Source organism: Homo sapiens, chromosome 9, assembly GCF_000001405.40.
Source record: "Homo sapiens chromosome 9, GRCh38.p14 Primary Assembly".
Taxonomy (NCBI): domain Eukaryota; kingdom Metazoa; phylum Chordata; class Mammalia; order Primates; family Hominidae; genus Homo; species Homo sapiens.
Genome location: NC_000009.12, coordinates 61,851,463 through 61,871,074, shown reverse-complemented (window position 1 = coordinate 61,871,074; position 19,612 = coordinate 61,851,463). Strand labels below are relative to the sequence as shown.

At 51.8% G+C, this 19,612-nt stretch overlaps 4 long non-coding RNA genes across 11 annotated transcripts, besides 1 other annotated feature; 2 read left to right on the top strand and 2 right to left on the bottom strand.

Moving 5' to 3' along the window:
- The first annotated feature begins 1,902 nt into the window (after nt 1–1,902).
- LOC102723678 (uncharacterized) lies at nt 1,903–5,443 on the top strand. 6 transcript variants are annotated; one of them, XR_007061532.1, is made up of 4 exons: nt 1,903–2,053; nt 2,583–2,827; nt 3,802–4,225; nt 4,998–5,443. It is a non-coding gene; the product is annotated as an uncharacterized LOC102723678 (long non-coding RNA). The 6 variants fall into 6 exon arrangements; XR_007061533.1 differs by having other exon boundaries at nt 1,930–2,053; nt 3,873–4,225; XR_950641.3 differs by having other exon boundaries at nt 1,965–2,053; nt 2,583–4,225.
- Nucleotides 3,022–3,864: an enhancer, noted in NCBI's record as "H3K4me1 hESC enhancer chr9:45003363-45004205 (GRCh37/hg19 assembly coordinates)". NCBI's record gives its function as "activates a minimal SCP1, AML or CMV promoter by ChIP-STARR-seq in primed H9 embryonic stem cells {active_cell/tissue: H9 hESC(primed)}" and the evidence as "EXISTENCE:reporter gene assay evidence [ECO:0000049][PMID:30033119]".
- On the bottom strand, nt 4,435–15,315 carry FAM27E4 (family with sequence similarity 27 member E4). 3 transcript variants are annotated; one of them, XR_001746484.1, is made up of 3 exons: nt 14,261–14,370; nt 9,422–9,798; nt 9,155–9,246 (listed from the first exon to the last, which is right to left on the bottom strand). It is a non-coding gene; the product is annotated as a family with sequence similarity 27 member E4 (long non-coding RNA). The 3 variants fall into 3 exon arrangements; XR_002956849.2 differs by lacking the exons at nt 9,155–9,246; nt 9,422–9,798 and adding an exon at nt 4,435–4,542 and having other exon boundaries at nt 14,261–15,315; XR_002956848.2 differs by lacking the exons at nt 9,155–9,246; nt 9,422–9,798 and adding an exon at nt 7,683–9,097 and having other exon boundaries at nt 14,261–15,315.
- LOC105379807 (uncharacterized) lies at nt 8,460–9,511 on the top strand. Its single transcript, NR_144466.1, has 2 exons — nt 8,460–8,586; nt 9,102–9,511. It is a non-coding gene; the product is annotated as an uncharacterized LOC105379807 (long non-coding RNA).
- A 419-nt stretch (nt 15,316–15,734) lies between the features above and the next one.
- On the bottom strand, nt 15,735–16,991 carry FAM27C (family with sequence similarity 27 member C). The gene is made up of 2 exons (NR_027421.1): nt 16,699–16,991; nt 15,735–16,144 (listed from the first exon to the last, which is right to left on the bottom strand). It is a non-coding gene; the product is annotated as a family with sequence similarity 27 member C (long non-coding RNA).
- Between the last annotated feature and the right edge of the window lie 2,621 nt (nt 16,992–19,612).

Here is a 19,612-nt window from a genome sequence, read left to right as displayed (position 1 = left end):
ACCCAGGAGGCAGAGGTTGTAGTGAGCCGAGATGTGCCACCGCACTCTATCCTGGGTGACAAGAGCAAGACACCATCTCAAAAACAAAAATGAGCAAACAAAAAAACTCGCTGGGGGTTCCAATGTGCAGCGAAAGTTGAGACCCTCTAGAGCTAATAGAAGAGTATCACTGCCCGGTAAATGGGTCCTGCTCCCCATTCTGCTATTTACATATGAGGTCCCCTGTAGGAGGGCCTGGTGCTAGGTGTCCCGGCGAGATGTGGACATCTTTCTGGCTCTTCTCCTTCTCTTATCTAAGTCCTCACATGGTGGGAAAATACCTCTCTAATGCTATGTAGAAAGAGAAGCAGGGAGTGCCCCTTCTAGCGTGGATGCCTTTGGTTCCCAGATCTGGATTTGAGGGGCTGGCTCTATCTCTTAAGAAGACATTTACCTAGCATTGGTAATGGAGATGGGGCCTTAATAGGGCTAGGGAGGCACACCCAACTCCAGACCCAGCTCTCTGCTGTTCCCCTTCCCAGTGCACACAATCCCAATTCCCACTCCAGAAAATTTTTTAAAAACATATCTTAAAAAAAAAACCTCGAAAAGCCAAGCAGACCCTCAGCTTCAAGGTATCTCCTCATTCCCTCTCTCTCTCTCTCTCTCTCTCTCTCTCTCTCTCTGTCTCTCTGAATCTACAAAGAAGGAGTGAGTTTTGTCTCTCCAAGTACTCAGAGCCTTAGATCACAAAGGGGCCTTAGATCCTGGTCTTTGGGAGATCTTTGACCACCACCTCTGCTGTGGCACGACCATTGTCAAAATGCTAGAAAGAAGAGAGACTGGCTCTTAGACCAAGGGAATTTGGGATTTGAAAGGACTTCCAATTCCAGTTCTATAGATTTCCTTCCCATTAGCCTCTTCATGTGCATCAAATGTAAATGGCAGGCTAAACCTACAGGATGAAGAGAGTTGAAAGACTGCTGCCTAAAAATGCCCTTTTCCAAATCTGTGGGTGCAGAAGCACATTGAAAGGCAGCTACCCAGCCTGGCGGTGTGGCACATGCCTGCAGTCTCACATACTTAAGAGGCTAAGGTGGGAGGACTACTTGAGCCCAGGAGTTTGAGGCTTCAGTGAACTATGATGGTGCCACAACACTCCAGCCTGGGAAACAGAGCTGGACCCCATTTCCAAAAAAAAAAAAAAAAAAAAAAAAAAAGTAGTTACCCAGGTAAGGTGGATGATCAAGTACACCCAGTGAGAAGCACACAAACCTTACCCTTTACCCAAACTCTCTCCCTTACCTGGCCCATTTCCGGTCTCTAGAGGAGGATCAGTTAGGGGGTGTGACCCAAGTTACCCAGATAATTAACTGTGGAAGCAAGTTTTTTTTTCACTCCTTTGGCCTCTAAATATGAGAGATCTTTACATCTCTTGCCTAGCTCCCTCTTATTCTCTACCCTCTCCCCAACACGCACGCAAATCCTAACAACAAAAAATCCTAAATATAGGAAGACAAACCTTCCTGACTTACCATTTTGGCCCACCTGCAACCCCTGTCCCCCGCCCCCTCCCCAATGTTTTTCTCTCCTGAGCCTCTGCTCTTCGCTTCTAAAATAAAAAAAAAAGAAGAAGAAGAAGGAATTTTCAATAGTCCAACTTGTCAAGCGAAGACCATCTTTTAACCTTCAACAGCAGCGAAAGCCGTGTGAACTCTTGGTGAACCAAGACTGAAGTCATAAATCACTCGTACAAAGGCGGCTGCGGAGGCTGGCGCGGGCTGCTGCACCTTTAACGCTTTCTGGCGCTGACAGGCGGCGGCCCAGCTAAAGTTCACAGCGCCCGGGGAGGGCCCGCCTCCGCCTCCCCTCCCGCCCCCGCCTCCCCTCCCCCAGGCCGGCCCCGGCCCCCGGCCCCGGACAGGCCCGCCGCGCGGCCGCTTGAGCTGCGAGCTGAGGAGGCCCGTTGGCTGTTCCCGCAAAGAGTGGGGGGCGCATTTTCTCTCCTGCCAGCCCGCTCCATCCTGGTCGTTTATTCCCGGCCTTCCCTCACCCCCCACCCCCACAGCCTGCTGTACGTAAATAGGCAAATAGATCTACAGGGACACAATAATTTAGCTTGGTTGGTCTTTGGCATTTTCTACAAGACCCCAAGAGATGGACTTTCCTCTCCCCTTCCTCCTTTTAGAAATGGCATCCTTCATCTCTGTCTAGGCAGGCCCAATTATCCAGATCCTCGGGGCTCCAATAGGGTCTGAGTCATTGGAACCAGGAACACCTGGCTGAAACATGCCACATAATTAGATTTTCTTTTTCTTTACCTTTTCTTTCTTATTTTTATAAGAGGCCCGGAATTAGCCTCTTCGACTGGGGCGGAGTAGCTGGGGTGTGAGAAAAGAACACCTTCATACAACTTCCAGCTTTCAGCCCCTTGGAGAGATTTCCAAATTCCCCGGAGCTTCTAGGACTTCCTTTCCTCGATCTCTCGGCCACCTCCTCCTCCTTCTCCGATCTTTTTTTTTTCCCTCCTCCCACTGTCTTCTCTACGGTTTAATCAAAGTTCAGCTACTCCACTTGCCTCTCCTCTCATTTCTTTCGGAAAGGGGAAACCAGACGACCCAGCGGCCACGGGACGAGTCACCCCAACTCAACCCCAGCAGGACGCTGGAGGGGCCTCCCTTGCCCACCTCTCTTCGCTAGCACTGGCCTCCCGCACCTGGGTCTGCAGTCCCTCCGCCATCTCACAAGTGTGCAGCCGCTAGGCCTGGGGGATCCGAATGACTGGGGCTGGATAGGAATGCCTTCGTGTTTCCCAAGACCCCCGGGCCTGCTCCACAAAGTTTGAAGGGTGGGTACACCCCGACCCAGGCAAGTTACTCCCCCAAACCCATGACTGACTAATCTGATATGACAAAAGCCCATGATGGATTTGGTATATGTTAATTCACAATGCCCTTTCCTCCAGAATTTAACTATAAGTTAATACACACCGGAAACCATGCGCATACACTCTCCTTAATGGGCTTAGTAATGTATTAGTGAGTCCTAACGATGCATACAAATGTGCTCTGCGCTCTGTAGACCCCTCAAGATTTATGGGCCTTGAGCTCTCTGAAGCTGTAAACAAGGAGAAAAAAAAAAGAGAAAGCGAAAGCGACTGGGGGGAAGAGACAGAGGCCTGACTCGCCCCTCCAGGTTTTGGAGAGAAGGGATTCTTTATGTATTTTCCTTTCCTTGCAAGCTCGGTGCGTGTGGGTTTTGGCGTTGGTCTGGGGGTGGTGTTCTGCCTGAATGCTGGTGTGCGTGGGCAGTGTGTTGTTTGCGTGCTGGGGTAGGATGCCTGCCTCTTCGGATTGCTGTGCAGGGGCCTGAACACAGCAGGCATTTGTGAGCATATATGCGTGAGTGTGCACTGTGTTAGGGTGTGTGTGTGTATGTGTGTGTGTGTGTGTGTGTGTGTGAGAGAGAGACAGACAGGGAGAGGCAGGCTTCCCCCTGGGCCAGGCTGCTGTCCCTTGAACGGTGGTGAACAAATCTCTAACGACAATCTTAATAACAATAAATAATGAATAATAATAATAAAACAGTAGTTAACAGTCCCTGCATAACAGAATAACAATAAAATGCAAGAGGAAATATTTTGAGGTGGAGACAGAAGGAGTCAGGATCACAGCATCTGAGGGGGAGATAGGAAAGGAAGGGAGGAAGAAAGCTTCTTAATATGCTCTTGGTGGGGCTGGGGTTGGGAACCCCTTTCCCAGACAAGGGATGGAAGAGGAGAAGGAGAGCCAGGAGGCCACTCTTTATTGCTTTTTTTCTCAGGCTTCTGCTTTGTGTGATCAGGGAAGGGATCCCACATATGGGAATGGTTAATGGATTTTGGGACTCTCTAGGAGCCCCTGTTTTAAGAAGGAGGCCAAATGTGCAGGCTCAGGCCAAGCAGCAGAGATGAATGAGGTGATGACCACAGCCTTGATCCGGCAGGAGCTCAGAGATGCCCGGGAAGACGGGGGGCCCGAATGGAAGCAGAAAAACACTTATGGCCGCTGGGAAGTTGGGAGAGCCAGGCTGGGGCTCCGGCAGGCCCAGGGAAAGTTCCCTTTCTAGGCTCTTTATTAAAAAATTTAAAAGGAGGAGTTGAGGCGCCTTGAATTTTCCTTCGCGAGTTTGGAGACCAGCCGATTTTTCATGAAGCAAGCAAGGGCCGCGGTCCCGGATCCTGCAACATATACCTCATTTTCTCCAGGTACAGTTTTCTGGTCATTTAATTCGTTTGTTTTCTTGGGGGAGATGGGAATCACAGGCGTAGAGATAGTAAGTTTGCTAGAGAGGAAGCCACCCCACAGTTTCGGGTCTAACGAAATCCCTCCTTTAAAAACATTTGTACCCCCAATAAAAATAAAATTAAAGAGGAATATAGAAACACAAATTAGCCAACTTTTTTAAAACAGAAAAAAGAAAAGAAAATCATCGTAACAGATGAGCGTGAGAACTTCTAAAAAATTTGTCACGAACCCTTTCAGAGGTCTGGATTCTTTTTCAGTAGCCGGTGACCCATTTGGTCTGAAAAGAGAAATACACTATCCACTGAGTCACTTATTTAAAGCCAGCACACACACACACACACACACACACACGCATTCAGAAAGCCCTGGGTGCCCTCGCATTTGAAAACAACACCGGGTGGAGGACGCTGCGATACCTAATTGGACAAAACAGCAATAAAATAAGACCAGTGGAAGTGCTGAGCACAGGGCGCAGGGCTAGGGCCCAGGTTTTGTGTTCCAGGCTGCCGGCGAGGCAGCGGCCCCGGGAGATGGGGCGCCGGGCGGTCAGGCACCGGCTGGCGACTCTGCTCGGCCTCCGCAGCCCGGCCTGCAGCCCCTTTCCCCCAGCCTCTGGGCCTCGTGGGCTCTCTCCGCTCCGACGCCTGTTCGGGGCTTCCCTGTTGAGAGGGTTTTAGGCCGAAGGGCCGAACGACTCAAGCCAGACTCTGCTTTTTCATTTTTCTCCCTTAGGCCTCTCCACTTGCCCGAGCTCTCAGCCACCAGGAGACAGACGGAAGGGGCTTCTGGGCTGTGTTGGGAGCGGGCATTGTCCCCTACCCACTCCTGCACAGTTTCCCAAAGTCCAGCGACCTCCGACCCTCCTTGGGGAAAAAAATACCAGTACCCAGACACCTCTGCACCCTGTTATATGACTGGGCTTGCTTCAGGAATATCTTACAAAGAAGAAGAAGGAGGAGGAACGGCTTGGAGTCATGTTTACATCTAGTTCTACTGATCCGTTCACATCTGGAGAGTTTATTTATAACTCCCTCTATAACTCTCTGTTTGGAGGCACTGGTGGCTCTACTGACAGACTGATGTCTAGGAAATATTGCTCTATGTCTAATGGTACCTAAATGTGCTGTGGTTGTATTTACAGATTTACGTTTGAGGGAAATATAATTATTTCCATTGTATTTGTGCATATACAGTAGTTATAGGAGCAGATTTATATATGGGAAAATATGCGACTCCCTTACAGCCATCCGGCTTTATGTACATTTGATATCCTGACAGATTTATATCTCTGAAGAGCTATATAGATTAAAACGTATATTGTTAGAATTATGTATCAGGAGATATATACTTATTGATTGCGAAATAGAGTAGTTAGAGCATTCACTTAGAGCCATATATGGCTATGGAGATATTTCTATATTATTATCACTATATATAGGCATATCTATTTATAACTGCATAGTTATAAAAATAGACATAAGTAATTATAGTCCTATATGTGCATGCTGCAATCTCTCTCTAGAGTTATAGACACTTTCAAATATAACTCTATAGAGAGATCTGTATGTATATAAGGTGTAATTATCTAGTGATGTGTTTACGTTGGGACTTAGGCCCGTCTCTCTAGAACAGACACATTTATATGTAGGGGCTGGGAGAGACTTATTCACAGATATCTGCAGAGGGCCAACTGGAAACACTGTATCTACCCTCTAGGAAACCAGCTAGAAGAGTTGTGTACTTATGGAGGGATGGAGTTACAAAAGGGTAAATAGAGCTCAGGGAGCCTTAAGGAGGGGAGGTGAATGGAGGGTGGGTGGGCTCGGTTTGAACAGATAGTGGGAGGAAAGGGGTAAACACCAGCACCCACCAGAAGGCGAGAACCAGTTTTGTGAGGGGCTGGTGCAGATGACTGTGGACAAGGAGCTTGTAAAATGAGAAGCGGCTAACAGTCCTGCCACCTCACCCTGAGACACTCTCCACCGAGGAAGCAGACTTCAGTTTGGCTTTTAGTGCACTGTAGGATAGGGACTGTCGTGTCACTCCTGTAGTCCTAGAGCGTTTCTCTTGAACCCTAATTTTTAGGTCTCAAAGAGTGGGCTTCAGAGATAAAGAGGTTTAGGCAGGGACAGGGCGAGGAGCGTGGGGTGTACTTTCGCTTTCCAACAAGTAAGGTAATCCAGGAAAGTGAGTTAATTTGGCCAAATAAAGCTTGTTTTTATGTGGGCCTCCTGTGCCCTGGTGGGGATGTAGGATGGGACCAGAATCTGGTGGACTGAGGAGTGAATTTCCAAGTATTGGGCCTGCTCTGATGGGGGCTTGGGGAGGTTGTCCTCACCACCCGCCCTCCTTCTCTGAGGCCTGAGTGGCCTAATTCCCTCTGGGTACAGAGGGACTCCTTCAGCTCCCTAACAGTGCTGCCCTGGGTCTTTTCAGGGAGAATTTGACTTTAGGAACAGGGAACATGGACTTACCCCACTAGATCTCACTTCTCCTACTCACAGCTACACCACTCTTACGTCAGCCTCCTTCCAGGCGCCACTCGGCGAGGGGTCCACAGTTCTTCCCCTGCTACCAACCAGCCCAGTGGGGAAATACCTCCCACGACTGCCAGTTTTTGTGTTTGTGTGTGTGTGTGTGTGTGTGTGTGTGTGTGTGTGTGTGTGTGTTTTAACCAGGAAGTTACAGATAACTTCATTAACTGCGTGAAGGAATTGTCCTGAACTCAGTCTCTGTGGCCAACCTAGCCTCCAGGATCTCTAGGATGCTAGGAAGGGAGTGGAGACCCCTGGACCAGGCTAACCACCATGTGCCATCCTCCACACACCCCTGCCCACAGGACTAGGAATTCCTGCAGTGCAGGGACTCTGTCTGCTGCCTGGCACAGAATGGTTGCCCAAACATACTTCTTGAGGTAAACGGAATGGCAGTCAATACAAAAACTCACCCTCACTCTGCACACCACCATAGCCACTGCTGGCTAGCAGGCACCCTAGCCAGGCTAGGAGATAACATGGTGGCTGGCAGCAGCTTGGGCTTTGACCGGACCAGTGGTTAGTAGCGTGGGAGAGCATCCTGAGTCTAGGATGGGGCAGGGACTGGAGCAAGGCACCTGGAATCCAGAAATTTGGGGGTAAGCCAAGGCAGACCCACCGCCCCAGTGCACTTCTGCTTTCTATCTCCAGTCTCATGGCTCCCTGGACCCCCAAAAGTTATGAAAACTAAACCAGAGCTGAGAACTGGGCTAGGATGGAATTGCCTGTCAACCCGAGGGATGCAAAGAGGAACCACCGTTGGGTCCATTAAGAAATCCACAAATAAAATAAAAATAAATCAGTGTGACACAGACAACCTGGCTGAAGGAAAGGTTTCTCTCTACGCCTCAGCCCTGCTCCAGGGCTACCAAACAGATCAGGCTTAATATTTAAAATGTTTAATAGTTAAAATTTTTTAACAATTTAACTTTAAAAAGGTCACACATTTTCTGATCCAGCAATGCCCCAATCAGATTGTTTCATTTTATTATTATTATCAACACTGTCCCCTTTTTGGCACCTGTAAAATAGTTCCTTTCGGGAGTTTGGAGCCAGGCCAGGCACCGTCGGTGCATGGGATGAGATGGGCAGGTTTGGAGCTCCTCTGTCTAGTGAGGATCACGGTCTGCAGAGAAGGGTTGGCCTCCCCGTCTCCTATCAAGGCTTAAAGCAAGGAGAACCATCCCAAATTTAGTTCCTTTTCCCCTAAGTATCCTTAGAGGCAATCCACCCTGTGACTAGGTGACTAGGTGAAGGACTGAGGTCCAGAAAGGAGCTATCTTAAACCTGGAATCCCATTTCCTAGTCTGCAGCCTTAAGCAGTTACCCTCTCAGACAACTAGCCCTCTCCTTCCTCCGCATGAAAACCCATGGCTTACAGGGATGGTTGTTGCTTTCCCTAAAGAAATTCAGGAAGGGAGATGTGAGGGTCAGTTCTCAGCGGTGGCGTTCTTTAAAGGGGACGCAGCCTGACTGCCAGGAGGGGAGAACGAGTCGGCCCAGCCAATGCGCATGCGCGAAGCACAAGCGGTTTCTCCCGTCACAGTGGTTCCCACGGTTGTCTTAGAAACCAGTCCCCGAGGCTTGGCAAAGGGGGAGACTTCCGTGGCAGTGCTTGGGTGTCAAGGCTCTGAGGCTCCGGCCTGACGGCTCCACTGGGTCGAGGGGAAAGTCTCCGGATGCCAAGAGTCACAAAGGGCCGAACAGGGTGAGGAAACCCGACGCAGAGTCCGGAGAAGGCAGCATGGAATCCCTCCCTCAGGCCTCTCTGGACGGTGTTGGTGGGGGTGAGTCTCCCCAAAAGTCGTGACGCGGTGATCTCGAGGACAGGACGGCCTGCGTGCCCCTGGGGTGCTCTCTCACCGAAGGGTCGTTCTCGTCGAAAGCAGAACCCCACAGCCTCAGGGGTTGCCTGGGTGTGTGTCTTTCAATGCCTTTGCTATAAGACTCTGTGTGTGTGTCTGTGTGTGTATGTGTGTGTGTGTCTCCCATTCTCTCTTCTCTCTCTGTCTCTCAGTCTCTGTGTGTTTCTTTCCCTCTCTCTGTCAGTTTGTGTGTGTGTGCCCGTGTGCGTGTGTGTCCTTGGCCGAATGTGCCCTGTGCACCACAAAGCTGTTTCTCGCATGGCGGCCTGTCTTTGGTGAGCCTGTTTCTGCCTCTCTGCCTGGGTCATGAGACCGGTTGTCAATCCTTTTCGCCGACGCGTTTCCGCTTTGGGTGTGTGAAGGCCTGGCCCACGTGAGGAGATTCTTCGGTCCCGGAGCAATTGAAATATCCCCATCCTGAGCGGTCTCTTTTCTAGGATCAAGATGAACACACTGCAGACGAGGACACGAGCCCCACAGGAGCTCTTTGTCCCGCCGGAGACCAGCGGACCCACGTCAGAGAAGATGCTTGTATCTTTTCACGGCTCTTCTCTGAGAAATGAAGCCACACCACAATACGGTCTGGAAGAGGAAGCCGGGAATGGGAGATGGCAACAGTCCCTGTCACTGGAATGCTGGCCTCTCTGGACAAGCCACCCTTTTGGAACCCCATCCCTTATGACCCTGGCAGTGGAACGGTGATATATCCCGCCTGGCCGCCGGCGTCTGCCCTGTCCTCCCTCCTGCTCTGCCTCACCTGTTTCTCAAGTGCCTCAATGCCTCTCGCTGACGCCCAATGTCTTCAACAAAGATGACTTCCCAGTCCGTCAGGGAGACATTTCTTCGAGATCCGTGTCGTGATTGTTTCTCTCTCCAAACCTGTTTCTGCTTGATTGGGCAGGTCGCATGACCTGGGAGCTCCTGGCTTCCATTCGTGTCTCAGGCAGGGAAGCTTCCTTCTTCTCCACGTTTCCCCTCATGGTGGGTGGATTGCCTAGAATGAGCGCTAGGCGACCATGACTGGCCTTGTCTTCCAGGAAAGGTAGTGTCGCATTTCCTCTGCACTTCCTGTCTCATTCATGAGGGACATCCTCTCCTCTGCTCCTGGGTGGACTGACTCCCTTGATCTTCTGGCTGAAACGAATGTAAGGGAACCAAAGGGACTGGGCTGGGGCTGGGGCTGGGGCTGGGGCTGTGGCTGGGCGCAGCCTAAGTTGCGTCAGGGCTACCAGGGCGGTGGAGGGTTGGGGGTGGGGCGAATTTTGCAGAAACCTCTTTGCTCCTCTGGTAGGCATGTGAAAACGTGGCTTGGGTCAGGCACAGGACCCCCACCCCCCGGGTCCTAGGTGTTCTTCGATTTTCCCTGGCATTGATGGAAAGGTCAACTGTTTCCCCATTCAACCGGCACATGCCTGGACACCACCCTTTGTTTCGCCGTCGCCCCGTATGCCTCCGGTGACACACATTAACACCAACTGCTGTGGGATAGGCCAGTGCCACGCGTGGTCACATGGTCTCCACCTCGGATTCGCCCCTGTTCCTCTATGCAGGTGTCCTGTAAAGCGCGGTGGGCTTTCCGGAACCCCAGGGCTTTTAGAAGCGGGGCAGGCCACTGCTCTTTCAAAGGAGGAGGGAGGCAGAGGGCTGATGGATAAGTGAATTTGCAGCTGACACTAGGCCTTGAGACCTATGGGATCATTCTGCACTGCAGCGAGGCCCTGCCTGCCTCACCAGATGTGGTGAGCCCATCCTATTTCACTCGAAGGGGGCCAAAATTGGATCTGAACAGGAGGACGGAGAACACAGCAGGCGTCCTGAAGCTCCCCCTCCCTCAGTGGAAGTCGGCTCAAGCAGGTCCTGAGGTGAGGACTCCTCGGGGTTTGGCCCTGGGACAGGAGAAGACACCCACGGCCCCCTCTCCCACGCCGCCCCAAACTGGACCCCGGATCTAGCCGCCGCCGCGGGGCTAGCAGGAGCCTCGCTGCTGCCACGCTCAGATGTGGCAGTATTTAAAGGGGACCCAGCCTGACTGCCAGGAGCGGAGCGCGAGTCGGCTCAGCCAATGCACATGCGCGAGGCGGGAGCGGCTTCTCCAGTCACAGTGGTTCCCACGGTTGTCTTAGAAACCAGTCACCGAGGCTTGGCGAAGAAGGAGCCCTCCGTGGCAGTACTTGGGTTTCGGGGCTCTGAGGCTCCGGCCTAACGTCTTCTTGGGGTCAACGGGAATGTCCCCAGATGCCAGGAGTCGCAAAAGGCCGACTACCATGAGGAAAGCCCAGCGGAGACGGGGGAAGCAGCACGGGATCCCAGCCTCAGGCCTGACCGGACGGTGTTGGTTGGGGTGAGTCTCCCCAAAAGTCATGCCTCCGTCAGTGATCTCTACGACAGGTCAGCCTGCATGCCCCTGGGCTGCTCTCTCACCCGAGGGTCCTTCTCGTAGAGAGCAGAACATCACAGCCTCAGGGATTGCTTGGGGGTGTGTTTTTCAATGCCCTCCTCCTTAGAAAGAGCAGTGGCCTGCCCTGCTTCTAAAAGCCCTGGGGCTCCGGAAAGCCGACAGTGCTTTACAGGACACCTGCAAAGAGGAACAGGGGCAAATCCGAGGCGGAGACCATATGACTACGCGTGGCACTGGCCTATCCCACAGCAGTTGGTGTTAATGCGTGTCACTGGAGGCATACGGGGAGACGGCGAAACAAAGGGTGGTGTCCAGGAACATGCCGGTGGAAGGGGGAAACGGGTGACCTTTCCATCAATACCAAGGAAAATCGAAAAACACGTGGGACACGCGGGGTGTGGGGAGGGGGGGCCTGTGCCGGACCCAAGCTACGTTTTCAAATGCCTACCAGAGGAGCATAGAGGTTTCTGCAAAATTCGCCCCACCCCAAACCGTCCAAGGCCCTGGCAGCCCTGACACAACTTTGGCTGCACCGAGCCCCAGGACCAGCCCCCAACCCTAGACCAGTCCCTTGGGTTCCCTGACATTCTTTTCTGCCAGATGATCAAGGGCTTCAGTTCACCCAGGAGCAGAGGAGAGGATGTCCCTCAAGAATGAGACAGGAAGTGCAGAGGAAATGCGACACCACCTGTCCTGGAAGTCAAGGCCAGTCACGTTCGCCTAGCGCTCATTCTAGGCAATCCAACCACCCATGAGGGGAAACGTGGAGAAGAAGGAAGCTTCCCTGCCTGAGACACCTAAGGAAGCCAAGAGTTCCCGGGTCATGAGACCAGCCCAATCAAGCAGAAACAGGTTTGGAGAGAGAAACAATCACGACACGGATCTCGAAGAAATGTCTCCCTGACGGACTGGGAAGCCATCTTTGTTGAAGGCATTTGGCCAGAGCTAGAGGCATCCAGGCCCCTGAGAAACAGGGGAGGCAGAGCAAGACGGAGGACAGAGCAGAGGCCGGAGCCCAGGCAGGATACAGCACCGTGCCACCGCCAAGGGCATAAGGGGTGGGGTTCCAAAAGGGTGGCTTGTCCAGGGAGGCCAGCGTTCTAGGGACAGGGATTGTTGCCATCTCTCATTCCCGGTTTCCTCTTGCTGACTGTATCGTGGTGTGGCTTCATTTCTCAGAGAAGAGCCGTGAAAAGACTCAAGCATCTTCTCTGACGTGGGTCCGCTGCTCTCCTGTAGGACAAAGAGCTCCTGTGGGATTCTTCTCCTCGTCTGCAGTGTGTTCGTTTTGATGCTAGAAAAGAGGCCGCTCAGGATGGGGATGAGACTTCAATTGCTCCGACGCATCTCCTCACGTGGGCCAGGCCTTCACAGAGCCAAAGCGGATCCACAGCAGCAAAAACGATTGACAACCGGCCTCATGACCCAGGCAGAGAGCAGAAAGAGGCTCAACAAAGACAGGCCGCCATGCGAAAAACCGCTTTGTGGCACACAGGGCACCTCCAGCCAAAAACACACACGCACACGGGCATGCACACACAAACCCACAGAGAGAGGGAAAGAAGCACACAGAGACTGAGAGAGGGAGAGAGAAGAGAGAATGGGAGACACACACATACACACACACACAGAGTCATACAGCAGAGGAATTGAAACACACACCACCAGGCAATCCCTGAGGCTGCGGAGTACTCCTCACGACAAGAACGACCCTCGGGTGAGAGAGCAGCCCAGGGTCACGCAGGCCGACCTGTCCTCGAGATCTCGGATGGCGGCACGACTTTTGGGGAGACCCACCCAACCAACACCATCCGGGCAGGCCTGAGGCTGGGATCCTGTGCTGCTTCCGCCGTACCCCCCTGGGGCTTCCTCATCCTGGTCGGCCCTTTGTGACTCCTGGAATCCGGAGACGTTCACGTCGACCCCGTGGAGAGGTCAGGCCGGAGCCTCACAGCCCCGACACCCAAGCACTGCCACGGAGGGCTCCTGCTTTGCCAAGCCTCGGGGACTGGTTTCTAAGACAACCGAAGGAACCACTGTGAAGGGAGAAGCCACTAGAGCCTCGCGCATGCGCATTGGCTGGGACGACTCGCGCTCAGCTCCTGGCAGTCAGGCTACGTCCCCTTTAAATATCGCCACTGTCGCCTGGCGGCCGCGATGCTCCTGCTGCCGCCATGGCGGCAGCTGGATCCTGGGTCCTGTTTGGGGTGGCGTGGGAGAGGGGGCCGCAGGAGTCTCGTCCTTTCCCAGGCCCAAACCCCCAGGGGTCCTGTCCTCAGGACCTGCTTGAGCCCACTTCCACCGATGGAGGGATGGAGGGGGAGCTTCAGGACTCCTGCTGTGTTCTCCGGACTCCCGTTGAGATCCGATTTTGGCCCCCTCCGAGTGAGATAGGATGGGCTCACAAAAACTGGTGAGGCCGGCAGGGCCTCGCTGCAGCACAGAATGATCTCATAATTCTCAAGGCCTAGAGACAGCTGAAAATTCACTGATCCATCAGCCCTCTGCCTCCCTCCTCCTTTGAAAGAGCAGTGGCCTGCCCCACTGCTAAAGGCCCTGGGGTTCCAGAAAGCCGACCACGCTTTACACCACACCTGCAAAGAGGAAAACAGGCGAATCCGAGGGGGAGACCATGTGACCACGCGTGGCACTGGCCAATCCCACAGCAGTTGGTGTGAATGCGTCTCACCGGAGGCATACGGGGCGACGGCGAAACAAAGGGTGGGGTCCAGGCATGTGCCAGTGGAAGGGGGAAACGGGTGACCTTTCCATCAATGCCAAGGAAAATCAAAGAACACCTGGGACCCGGGGGTGGGGGGCCGCCTGTGCCTGACCCAAGCCACGTTTTCAAATGTCTACCGGAGGAGCAAAGAGGTTTCTGCAAAATTCGCAACACCCCCAATCCTCCACCGACCTGGTAGCCCTGACGCAACTTCGGCTGGCACAAACCCACAGAGAGTGGGAAAGAAACACACAGAGACTGAGAGACAGAGAGAGAAGAGAGAATGGGAGACACACACACACACACGCAGAGTCATACAGCAGAGGCATTGAAACACACACCCCCAGGCAACCCCTGAGGCTGCGGGGTTCTGCTCTGGAGGAGAACGACCCTCGGGTGAGAGAGCAGCCCAGGGGCACGCAGGCCGACCCGTCCTCGAGATCACGGACGGCGGCACGACTTTTAGGGAGACTCACCCCAACCAACACCGTCCGTGCAGGCCTGAGGCTGGGATCCCGTGCTGCTTCCCCCGTCTCTGCCTGGGGTTTCATCATCATGGTCGGCCCTTTGCGACTCCTGGCATCCGGAGACGTTCCCTTCGACCCCGTGGAGAGGTGAGGCCGGAGCCTCAGAGCCTCGACACCCAAGCACTGCCACCGAGGGCTCCTGCTCTGCCAAGCCTCGGGGTCTGGTTTCTAAGACAACCGTGGGAACCACTGTGACGGGAGAAACCGCTCGCGCCTCGCGCATGCGCATTGGCTGAGCCGACTCGCGCTCCGCTCCTGACAGATAGGCTGCGTCCCCTTTAAATATCGCTGCCGCCGCGGCGGCGGCTGGATCCTGGGTCCTGTTTGGGGCGGCGTGGGAGAGGGGGCCGCGGGTGTCTCGTCCTGTCCCAGGCCCAAACCCCCAGGGGTCCTGTCCTCAGGATCTGCTTGAGCCGACTTCCACCGAGGGAGGGGGAGCTTCAGGACGCCTGCTGTGTTCTCCGGACTCCCGTTGAGATCCGATTCTGGCCCCCTCCCACTGAGATAGGATGGGCTCACCACATCTGGAGAGGCCGGCAGGGCCTCGCTGCAGCACACAATGATCCCATAGGTCTCAAGGCCTAGCGTCAGCTGCAAATTCACTGATCCATCAGCCCTCTGCCTCCCACCTCCTTTGAAATATCAGTGGCTTGCCCCGCTTCTAAAAGCCCAGGGGCTCCGGAAAGCCGACCGCGCTTTACAGGACACGTGCCACCAGGAACAGGGGCGAATCCGAGGTGGAGACCGTGTGACCACGCGTGGCACTGGCCTACCCCACAGCAGATGGTGTGGATGTGTGTCGCCGGAGGCATACGGGGCGACGGCGAAACAAAGGGTGGTGTCCAGGCATGTGCTGGTGGAAGGGGGAAACGAGTGACCTTTCCATCAATGCCAAGGAAAGTCGAAGAACACCTGGGGCTCGGGGGGTGCGGGTCGAGATGGGGGGCTGTGCCTGACCCAAGCCACGTTTTCACATGCCTACCAGAGGAGCAAAGAGGTTTTGGCAAAAATTGCCCCACCCCCAAGCCTCCATCGCCCTGGTAGCCCTGACGCAACTTCGGCTGCACCCAGCCCCAGCCCCATCCCCAGCCCCAGCCCCAGCCCAGTCCCTTTGGTTTCCTGACATTTGTTTCGTCCAGAAGATCAAGGGAGTCAGGCCACCCAGGAGCAGAGGAGAGGATGTCCCTCAAGAATGAGACAGGAAGTGCAAAGGAAATGGGACACCACCTGTCCTGGAAGTCAAGGCCAGTCACGGTCGCCTAGCGCTCATTCTAGGCAATCCACCCACCCATGAGGGGAAACGTGGGGAAGAAGGAAGCTTCCCTGCCTGAGACACGTATGGAAGCCAAGAGCTCTCGGCTCATGATACCTGCCCAATTAAGCAGAAACACGTTTGGAGAGAGAAACGATCATGACACGGATCTCCAGGAAGTGTCTCCCTGACGGACTGGGAAGTCATCTTTTTTGAAGGCATTTGGCCAGAGCGAGAGGCATCCAGGCCCCTGAGAAACAGGGGAGGCAGAGCCAGAGGGAGGAGAGAGTAGAGGCCAGAGCCCAGGCAGGATACAGCACCGTGCCACCGCCACAGACATAAGGGGTGGGGTTCCTAAAGGGTGGCTTGTCCAGGGAGGCCAGCGTTCCAGTGACAGGGACTGTTGCCATCTCCCATTCCCGGCTTCCTCTTGCTGACTGTATCGTGGTGTGGCTTCATTTCTCAGAGAAGAGCCGTGAAAAGATACAAGCATCTTCTCTGGCGTGGATCCGCTGCTCTCCTGTGGGACAAAGAGTTCCTCTGGGGCTCTTGTTCTCGGCTGCAGTGTACTCATCTTGATCCTAGAAAAGAGGCCACTCAGGATGGGGATGAGATTTCAGTTGCTCCGGGAGCGACGCATCTCCTCACGTGGGCCAGGCTTTCAGGCACCCAAAGCGGATCCGCCGCGGCGAAAACGATTGACAGCCGGCCTCATGACCCAGGTAGAGACGCAGAAAGAGGCTCACCAAAGACAGGCCGCCATGCGACAAACCGCTTTGTGGCGCACAGGGCACATTCGGCCAAAGACACACACGCACACGGGCATACACACACAAACCCACAGAGAGAGGGAAAGAAACACACAGAGACTGAGAGACAGAGAGAGAAGAGAGACTGGGAGACACACACACAGACACACACACACACACTCACACACACACACACACACACACAGAGACACACACACAGCGTCATACAGCAGAGGCATTGAAACACACACCACCAGGCAACCCCTGAGGCTGCGGGGTTCTGCTCACGACGAGAACGACCCTCGGGTGAGAGAGCAGCCCAGGGGCACGCAGGCCGACCTGTCCTCGAGATCACGGATGGCGGCACGACTTTTGGGGAGACTCACCCCAACCAACACCGTCCGGGCAGGCCTGAGGCTGGGATCCCGTGCTGCTTCCCCCGTCCCAGCCTGGGGTTTCCTCATCGTGGTCGGCCCTTTGCGACTCCTGGCATCCGGAGACGTTCCCGTCGACCCCGTGGAGAGGTGAGGCCGGATCCTCAGAGCCCCGACACCCAAGCACTGCCACAGAGGGCTCCTGCTTTGCCAAGCCTCGGGGACTGGTTTCTAAGACAACCATGGGAACCACTGTGACGGGAGAAACCGCTCCCGCCTCGCGCATGCGCATTGGCTGAGCCGACTCGCGCTCCGCTCCTGGCAGTATGGCTGCGTCCCCTTTAAATACCGCCACCGCCGCGCGGCGGCAGCGAGGTTCCTCCTGCCGCCACGGCGGCGGCTGGATCCGGGGTCCAGTTTGGGGCGGCGTGGGAGAGGGGGCCGCGGGTGTCTTGTCCTGTCCCAGGGCCAAACCCCTAGGAGTCCTGTCCTCAGGACCTCCTTGAGCCGACTTCCACGGAGGGAGGTGGAGCTTCAAGATGCCTGCTGTGTTCTCCAGACTCCCGTTCAGATCCGATTTTGGACCCCTCCGAGTGAGATAGGATAGGCTCACCACATCTGGTGAGGCAGGCAGGGCCTTGCTGCAACACAGAATGATCCCGTAGGTCTCAAGGCCTACTTGTACTGTTGTACATAATGTATATAATTGACTTTTATTCACTCGACAAAATTTCCTAAAAATACATCCAAATGATTGCATTAATTAATATTTTGTTCCTTTGATGACTGAGTAGTATTTCATGGTTTCTGGTATAAATTCACCACAAATTAAACATTCACCTGGGCTTATTGACCTTTTCAACTGTAACAAATTAAGCTGTTGTAGACATTCGTGAACAAGTTTTTGTGGGACCACAGTTTCATCACTCCAAATTAAACACCCACAACTGCAATTGCTGGGATCTATGGTCTATGCATATCTGGTTTTTATTTTACTTTAAAAAATTTTTAATTATTTTCTTAAAATTTTATGGGTACACTGAGTGCCCACAGAAGCTAGTAAGGATACTGGGGCATTGGAGAGGAGGTAGAGAAGGTTAATCAGCACACACAGAAAAAAAATGTGGAAAGAATGAATAACATATCTGTCTTTTTAAAAAACTGTCAGCTATTTTTCAGAGTGGCTCTATTATTTTACTTTTCCACTAGCAACTTATGAGTGATCGTATTTTTTACATCCTGAATAGCTTTTGCTATTGTCACAATTTTTAAAAGTCATTTTGATAGGTGTGTAGAAATATCTCACTATGGTTTTATTTGACATGTCCATGATGATTAATAATATTGAACATGTTTCATGGATTATTTGACATCTGAATATTTTTCTTGTTAAAACGTCCATTGATGTCTTTTGTCCATTACCTAATTGGATCATTTGCATTTTTTAAAAAATTTGCTGTTGTGTTTTGTGTCATCTCTATTTATTTTTGTCGGTTTTGATAGATGTTTATCAATTGATTGATTTTTTCAATAAACCAGCTTTTTGTTTCACATTTTTTTCTGTTTTCAATTTCATGAATTTTTGTTATTGTGATGATTATTTTTCTTCTTCTGCCTGCTTTCAGTTTACTCTGTTCTTTTTCTAGTTTCTTGAGATACAAGTGTAAGTTATTGATTTGAGATCTTTTCTTATTTTTAATGAAGCATTTAGTACTATAAATTTCTTTCCCACCACAGCCTTAGCTGTATTTCCTATATTTTGATATGTTGTATTTTCTTTCATTTGTTGAAATATATTTTTAGATTTTTATTTAAGACTTTATATTTAATCCATAGATCATTTGGAACTGTGTTGCATAATTGAAATGCATTTAAACATTTTCCTGCTCTCTTTCTGTTACTGACTTTTATTTTAATTCCACTATGGTCAGAGAACATACTCTATATGACATAAATTCTTTTAAATGTATCAGGGTTTGTTTTATGGTGCAAGAAATCATCTAGTATTTTAGTTAATATTTCATGAGCTCCTGAAAAACTGTATATTCTGCTGTTTTTTGTGGACTGATTCTATATTTAGAGAGAGATATATATATAATTGACATATATTTATCTGTATATGTGTGTCTGTGTGTGTGTGTGTGTGAGTTTGTGTGTGTGAATAAAATCTTGTTGGTTGATTGTGCTGTACAGATCTTCTACATGCTTGCTGATTGTCAAATTTTTGTCCAATAATTCTATCAATTGCTGAGATAAGGCTGTTAAAACCCACAACTATAATTTATTATTTTTTAGTTCTATAATTTTTCTCTTCATGTTGTTTAAGACTTTGTTATTTGGTGCATATATATTTGGAATTGTTATGTTTACTGGTGAATTGATCCATTTATTATTAGTGTTGCAGTCTCCTCACTCCTTAATTTAGTGAGGTCCAAGATCTTGTCCCACAACCAAGAGAATAAGGCACACAAATACCAGAGAGTGAGTAAGGCAAATTAACATTCATTAAGCAACAGAAAAGCTCTCAGCAGCAAGAGTGGACCCAAACAAGGGTTGCCAGAAATGGGGCTGAGTTCTGATCCCTTTATGTGACAGAAACAAGGAAGTCCTTTGTGGGTCCTGCCTTAATGGAAGGGGTAAAATTCCCTGCTGGGAGTGTTCTGTCTGTGCATACCTAGGTTTGGCAGCAGTGACTCCATCTTGATTATTAGTCATAAGTGCCTAAGCAAAATTCATGGGGGCACCAAAACTGCAATGCTAATGATATTACAATTAGCTCTGGGTCAAGTTAAGGACATTTAGTTGATTTATTGAAACATAATTGGGACAGTCCCTTCTGAGAGACATCTTGGTATAAGAGGAAGTTGTTAACCACATTTCCACATTCTAGCTACACCACAAAGGTAGTGCAGGTGCATTCCCATGG